General features: G+C 34.3%; 1 protein-coding gene across 15 annotated transcripts in view; it reads left to right on the top strand.

The window, feature by feature from the left end:
- Positions 1 to 8,212, top strand: part of TMEM232 (transmembrane protein 232) — a 351,524-nt gene that overhangs the window by 302,510 nt on the left and 40,802 nt on the right. The window contains exon 15 of one of the 15 annotated variants that reach the window (XM_047417492.1): positions 6,344 to 6,557. The exons of 13 other annotated variants lie outside the window; for them this stretch is intronic. In XM_047417492.1, the coding sequence (XP_047273448.1) occupies positions 6,344 to 6,550 (207 nt within the window). In that variant the 3' untranslated portion in view covers positions 6,551 to 6,557. Of the gene's footprint in view, positions 1 to 6,343; positions 6,558 to 8,212 lie in introns of those variants that run through there. One more of the 15 variants, XM_047417491.1, reaches the window with a different exon arrangement.

Below are 8,212 nucleotides of genomic sequence, written 5' to 3'. Positions count from 1 at the left end.
CTGCACAGCAAATGAAGCAGTCAACAAAGTGAAGAGACAACTCAAAGAATAAGAAAAAATATTTGCAAACTACCATGTGGCACGGCATTAATAACCACAATAAAGAAGGACCTCAAACAACTCTATAGAAAAATTCCAATAATCTGATTTAAAATAGGAAAAAATATTTCAATAGACATTTCTCAAAAGAGGACATACAAATAGCAAAGAGGCATATGAAAAGGTGATCAACACCATTAATCATCCGAGAAATGCAAATCAAAACTACAACGAGATATCCCTTCACTCCAGTTAAAATGGCTTTTATCCAAAAATTAGGCAATAACAAATGCTAGAGAGGATGTGGAGAGAAGGGATCCCTTGCAAGTATTGGTAGGAATGTAAATTAATACAACCACTATGGAGAGCACTATGGAGCTTCCTCTGAAAACTAAAAGTAAAGCTATCACATGATCCAGCAATCTCACTTTGGATATATACTCAAGAAATAGGAAATCCATATATAGAAGAGTTATCTACACTCCAATATTTGTTGCAGCATTGTTCACAATAGCCAAGGTTTAGAAGCAACCCAAGTGTCCATCAACAGATGAGTGGATAAAGAAAATATCATTCTTATACACAATAGAGTACTATTCAGCCATAAGAAAGAATGAGATCCTGTCATTTGCAACAGCATGGATGAAACTGGAGTTCATCATGTTAGGTGAAATAAGCCAGGCACAGAAAGACAAACATCACATGTTCTCACTCATTTGTGGGATCTAAAAATCAAAACAATTGAACCCATGGAGATAAAGAATAGAAGGATGTTTACCAGAGGTAGTGAAGGGTAGAGGGGAAGTCGGGAGGGGAGTGGGGATGATTAATGGGTACAAAAATTAGAAAGAATGAATAATACCTAGTACTTGATAGCACAATAGGAGATATATACTCAATAATTATTTAATTCTACATATTTGAATTGTTAACACAATCCAAGGAATGCTTGAGGGGATGTATAATCCATTTTCCATGACGTAATTATTACATATTGCATGCCTGTACCAAAATATCTCATGTACCATATAGGTATATATACCTAGTATATACCCACAAAAAATAAAAATTTAAACATTAGAAAAGTAACATTTAAACATTAAATGTTTAAATTTTTAAACATTAAAAAACTTAAAGTAAACACTACTGATTTTTGTGCATTGATTTTATATCCTGAGACTTTCCTGAAGTTGTTTAATAGGTCTAGGAGCCTTCTGGTGGAATCAGAAAAGTTTTCTACATGAAGAGTCATATCAATAAGTGAAGAGAAATAATTTGACTTTCTCTTTTCTTATTTAAATGATGTTTATTTCTTTCTCTTGCCTGATTGCTCTGGCTAAGACTTCCAGTTGAATCGGAGTGCTGAGAGTGGACATTCTTGTCTTGTTCCACTTCTTAGTGATAATGCTTTCAATTTTGCCCATTCAGTAGGTTGTTGGCTGGGGGTTTTGAGGGATGTTCCTTTGATGCCTAGTTTGTTGAGAGATTTTTCATGAAGGGATGTTGGATTTTATCAAATGCATTTGCTGAATTTATTGATGAATGGCTATGATCAAATCATTTTTAAATTTCTCTTTATGTGATGAATCATTTATTGACTTGCATATGTTGAACCGTCTTGAATCCCAGGAATAAAGCCCACTTGATCATGGCGAATTAACATTTTGATGTGCTGCCGCATTTGGTTTGCTAGTATTTTGCTGAGGATTTTTCTATCTATGTTCATCAGAGATATTAGTCTGTAGTTTTCTTTTTCTCTCTTTGCCAGATTTTGGTATCAGGATGATAGTAGTATTATAGAATGAGTTAGGGAGGTGTCCTTCCTCCTCGATTTTTTGGAATAGTTTCAGTGGCATTTGTACCAGTTTCTTTGTATATCTGGTAGAACTTGGCTGTAAATCCATCTGGTCCAGGGCTATTTGGTTGGTAGGTTTATTATTATTATTACTTATTCAACGTTTTAATGGTCTGTTTAGGATTTATGTTTATTCCTGGCTTAATCTTGAGAGATTGTGTTTTTTCTAGGAATTTATTCATTTCCTCTAGATCTAGTTTCTGTGCATAGAGATGTTCACAGTAGTTTCTAAGCATTTTTGTGTTTCTGTGGGATCAGTTGCAATGTCACCTTTTGTCATTTCTGATTTTGCTTATTTGAATCTTCTCTGTTTTCTTTTTTAATCTAGTTAGCAGTCTATCAATAATCTTATTTATCCTTTCAAAGAACCAAGTTTTTTTTTTTCATTTATTCTTTGCATGTTTTGGGGGGGTCTCAATTTCATTTAGTTCTGCTCTGATTTTAGTTATTTCTTTTCTTGTGCTTTCATTTATTTTATTTTCTTCTGCTCTGACTTTAGTTTCTTTTTAAACTTTTCCAAAAAATCAAGGAGGAAAGATACCTCCTTAACTCATTCTATAATACTAGTATCATCCTGATACCAAAATCTGGCAAAGACATCACAGAAAAAGAAAACTACAGGCTAATATCCCTGATGAACATAGATAGAAAAATCCTCAGCAGAATACTAGCAAACCAAATCCCGCAGCACATCAAAATGTTAATTCACCATGATCAAGTGGGCTTTATTCCTGGGATTTAAGATGGTTCAACATATGGAAGTCAATAAATATGATTCATCCATAAAGAGAATTAAAATTTAAAAACGATTTGATCATAACCATTGAACAATAAATTCAGCAAATGCATTTGATAAAATCCAACATCTCTTCATGAAAAATCTCTCAACAAACTAAGCATCAAAGGAACATCCTTCAAAACCTAAAACATAAATCCTAAACAGAAAAACATAAATCCTAAACAGAATTGGGTTTAGTTTGTTCCTATGTTTCTAGTTCTTATAGGTATGAGGTTAGGTGGTTAGAGATTTTTCTATCTTCTTGATGTAGGCATTTAGCAATATAAACTTTCCTGTTTTTGATGCATCCCTGAGTTTTTGGTATGTTGTACCTCTATTCTCATTTGTTTCAAAGAACTTTTTATTTCTACTTTGATTTCATTGTTTACCCAAATGTTCTTCAGGAGCAAGTTGTTTAGTTTCAATGTATTTCTATGGCTTTGAGAGTTCTTCTTGGTATTGACTTATATTTTTATTCCACTGTGGTCCAAGAAGGATGCTTGATATAATTTTGCTTAAAATCTATTGAGACTTGCTTTATGATTGAGCATGTGGTCAGTCTTAGAGTATGTTCCATATGCAGATCAGAAGCATGTCTATTCTGTCGTTGTTGGGTGGAGTAATCTGTAGTTGTCTATTAGGTCCAATTGGTCAAGTGTCAAATTTAAATTTATAATTTCTTAGTTTTCTGCCTTGATGAACTATCTAATTATATCAGTGAGGTGTTTAAGTACACCACTATTATTTTGTGGCTATCAGAGTATTTTCTTAAGGCTAGAAGTAAGTGTTTTATAAAGCCGGGTGCTCCAATATTGAGTGCATATATAGTTAGGATAGTTAAGTCTTCTTGTTGAATTGAACCCTTTATCATTATGTCATGCTTTTTTGTCATTTTTGACTGTTGTTGGTTTAAAGTTAATTTTATCTGATTTAAGAATAGTAGCTCTTCCTCCTTTTTGTTTTCCAGTAGTGTGGTGGGTCTTTATTCATCCCTTTACTTTGAACCCATGCATATCATTATGTGTGAGGTGGGTTTGTCTCTTAAAGACAGCAGAAGAATGTGTCTGTTTTGTTTTTAATCCAATTTGCAACTTTATGTCTTGTAAGTGGAGCATTTAGGCTATTTGTCTTCAAGATTAATATTGAAATATTAGGCTTTGTTCCTTTCATAGTGTTGTTAGCTAGTTGTGTGGTAGTCTCGATTATGTACTTGCTTTGTAGGGACCGTGGGTTGTGTGCTTGCATGTGCTTTTGTGGGAGCAAGTGTTCTTTCCTTCCCATGTTTAGAGCTCTATTAAGCATTTTTTGGAGGGCCAGTTAAGATGTGATGAATTCCCTTAGAAACTGCATGTTTGGGAAAAACTTCATTCTCCTTCGTTTATGAAGCTCGGTTTGGCAGGATTTGAAATTCTTTACTGGCATTTATTTTCTTTCAGAATGCTAAATGTGGGCCCCCAATATCTTCTGGTTTGTAAGGCTTCTGCTAATAAGGGTTCTGTTAGTCTGATGGGTTTCTCTTTACAGGCAATATGACCCTTTTTGCTCGCTACCTTTAAAAATTTTTCTTTCTTATTGACTTTGGATAATCTGTTGACTATTTGCCATGGGGATGGTGACCTTATATAGTATCTCACAAGAGTTCTCTGGATTGCTTGTATCTGCATGTCAACCTCTCTACTTCTACAAAAAAATATTTTGTGTCCAAACTATTCTATGTGGTTGCATCTGGACTTCACTTACTGTAGCTCAAGTATTTAAAGTTTTTAAATACTTAAAGTATTTCCATTTTATAAAGCTACCAAAATTTATCCCTTGAACTATTGGTAAATATTTGATTCATTTCTCTTTTTATATTATACAAACAATGCTGCTAGGAACATTCTCATATATGTCTCTGCTGTTCTTTTCTATATATTCTGCCTGTTTTTTCCCTTGCTTCAGCCTAGATATTTCTGTTTCCCTATCTTCCAATTCACCAATCTTCTTTTCTGCTATGTCTAATCTGCTGTTATATACACCTACCAACTTCTTAATTTCACTTACTGCTTTTTTTGTCAATTCTATAAGTAATATGTGAATTTTAAGATAGATTCCAGTTTTCTAGCAAAATTCTTCACCTGGCTATTTATTTAAATATACTTATCATAGTTATTTTAAAGTCCATATTTGTAACTCCAATATAAACCTTCTGTGTGTGAGATTTGCCCAGTATGCCTTATCATTTTTTATTGAATTCTGGATTTTTTGTATTAAAAATGACAAAGACTCCTGGTTCATACTATGTACAGCAGAAAGACAGTTCACCTTCTTCTGCTATGCATCTTGATTGATGGCAGAGCATTTTCATCTAACCAGTAGCTGAACTGACTCCAGGATTATCTAACTTTTAAGTTAAATCTACATGTGATTCAAACATAACGCCAGAGTGTAAATTTTCAGGAGTCCCAATGGAGAGCCTGAGGTGTTCATCAAGGCCTCTCTCGTTTTGTAGATTTGAGCCCCAAATTTTCAGAAACTGTAAAGTTTCTGAAAAATTCCACTCTGCTTGTTGGTGACTTCTTTGCTTGGCTTCTTAGCCTTCTCAGTTTAATACTTTAGAACATTCTTGGGGGGAAACTTAGTGGTGTGTGTGGTGCTCACTTCTCTTGAGCTTGATCCTTCAAGTCCTGGCTACCTCGGCAGCTCTAAACTCTTTTTTGCTTTGTCAACCCTGTAAGATTGCCAAGTACTCTCCTGGCTTCTCAAGTTCTGATCAAAATTTCTCTGCCGGGATTTTTCACTTTTCAATCCATAAAATAAAAGGATAAATGCTCTAAGGAGAAGTATATTTTGCAGCTCATTACTTACTTCTCCAGGTCCTTCCTCTCTGATACATTGGCCTTTCAAATCCTGTTGCTTAATGTATCATGAATGCTTTTAAACAGATTTTTAAAAATAATCTTTGGCTCTCATAGCATTTGTTATCTGTCAGGTCATTGATCTGCTGCAAGCTATCACTTTAGTGACAAACAGAAATCCTAAAGGTTATTGAAAATTTTATTTAATACTGAGATTGTATTTATTCAAATGTTTATAATAAATTAGAATTTAACATAAAAATTCCCATGATCGATGATTATGACACTAGTGACCATGGGAAAAAAACTAAGTGAAATTTTAGAGGAAAACAAAAACATATTTTTAGAAACCCTCAAAGGCATTTATTTGTCTGTATTGTTAAGTTCTATTGCTATTGTTTGCTGATTTTATGTTATTCTATCTGAAATAGTAGCTCTTTTGAAACTGCATATATTTTAACTTTACCTTGAAGAGAGGAAGGAATTTATTTTCCTTTCAAGTAATTATTGCTTCAGGGATAGTATTAAGGTGACAATCTGAATATTAACCTATTTGGGCTCTGAGAACAAAAAAAAAAAGGAAACGTCTAAGTATTGGAGATGGTAGGTGCAACTTCAATACATAATATGATTGACCCTCTTTAGTATAATACCACAAAGCTAATTAAACGAGAGAAAACTTTGAGCAATAAGCTCTTAGAGAAAGTTAAAAAGAAAGTTAATTTAATCAAAAGTAACATGAACTTATGATATTTTGATATAAGATGATTTTTCTTATGCTATAGAATGATTTAATTAGTTTTTTTTTTCTGATATCATCCCTCTTAACTCCAGAAGTTTTGGGGAATCATCCAATATACCACCACATATTCCAGATTGAGGTTTCTACTATCATTCTCTTCTAAAAGAAATCAAGGCTCCATGGACAGTGTCTATATCATGGACTTCTTGCCTTCAGAAAGTAAGGCCTTCATCGGAAGAAATTGCAATAGAACTAAGACAAGAAAGTTAGCTAAAGAAAAGGTTATGGTAGCCAAATAATTAAAAGGTAAGGTTCCAAACAATGTACACAATTAATTAGAACAAGTTGTGTTTGAAATCAGTGAGAGGTCATTAATCTATGATGAATCTCAAAAAGGAGACTAAATATACTGAGAAAAGCCATACCAACCAGTGAGTCTATGGTACCCAGTTTTCCTCAAAAAGTGGGATAAGGGGGGAAGACATTCAATTGTTAAGAATGGAGTTCTAGGGTTTGTTTAATTGATAAAATATCTTCCCCTCATTGGATAATTCCAATGGTTATTTATTTTAGTTTTCCTGAGATAAAAACAATATTTTATCTGCTCAACTGATGCTTCCAAGCCAGATCTTAGGTGAGGGTGTGAGATGTAGGAATAAAGAAGCCTGAAACCTATGCATGTCTCCTGCTCCTGGGGAATATCTCCTGCCTAACGGGACACTCACTTTTTACCAGTATGTCTTCAGGAGAGCTTTGGAGACTTGAAAAACCATAATTCTGCATAAAGAAATATATTATCCCCCCTTTTCTTGTAAATATCTTTGCACATTTCTCATCCTTGAACTGTTAAAGAAACTGAACATGTCCTATATGTATCTTTTCATGAATCTAATCATCATCCTATTGGGACAATCTTGCATAATCCATCCAGGTAGATCTCTCTTACCCACTCTCAGACTAAGTTAAATGATGCCAGCTCCCCACCTTTCTACTCGAAAGAAACATATTTTGCAGCCATTTTCCCGGTATACCGTGAATGGCTGTTTATATGTCTTCCCCCATGTGAACTTCAAGTTTCTGGAGAGAAGAATCTAAGCTTTTTCTTCTTATTATTTTTTCCCACTCCTAATAACAACTTCCCCTTGCAATAAATGTTTGAATACATGAATAAATTAGTCAGCTCCTCTTCACTTCAATGTAATCTCAGTCCCAGCCATCTCAGTCTACATACATTTTCTGAAATGAGTTATTTATTTTCTTTTCCTGAGCCTTTGTTCCTGTTTTGTCATCTGTACCAGGTTTGTTTTCCCCAAAAGATATGACTAAGTCTTAACCCCTTGTACCTATAAATATGACCTTCTTTGGAGAGAGAGTGAGTTTTTGTAGATGTGATTAAAGTAAGGATCTCGAGATGAGATTATCCTGAATTATAATGTGTCAAAGAAAAGTTGTACTGGACAAATTAAGCAGCCAAAGAGGAGTTTATTCAAGACTATTGCAGTGGAGGAGAGAAATTAAACTCAACTCTTCTGGGGAAAAAAAAAAAAAGACAGGAGGATATGTAAGTGCTGGGGTTAGCTAGTGGAAACATACTGGAGCACATTAGAAAGTATGTTGATTCATGTGATTAGGTCAATTTGATGTGTTTGCTGTTGTCACTTACCTAAGTTAGGCTCCTAGACCTCCCACAGAGACTGGGCAGATGGTGGCTATCTTCCTTGAGGATATCTTTCAAAGAGATGGCTCCAGGTCATTGAGAAAGAAATTCCTGTGTTATAAAACTACCAAGAGGATGGGAGAATATTTATATCTCAAAAGTGCAGACAGAAAATTTACAATTGAAAGTTTTCTAAAGTGAATATTGTGCTAAGGAAAGTGAGGTCAGAGGCCTGTCTAAAGTTTAGGGAAACTGAGGGGAATGTTAAGGCTATCTTGCTTTTGTGGACCTTAAATTCAATGAC

Source organism: Homo sapiens, chromosome 5, assembly GCF_000001405.40.
Source record: "Homo sapiens chromosome 5, GRCh38.p14 Primary Assembly".
NCBI classification, from domain to species: Eukaryota; Metazoa; Chordata; class Mammalia; order Primates; family Hominidae; genus Homo; species Homo sapiens.
The sequence above is the reverse complement of the archived record's forward strand: the minus strand, read 5'-3'. Positions and strand labels throughout refer to the sequence as shown.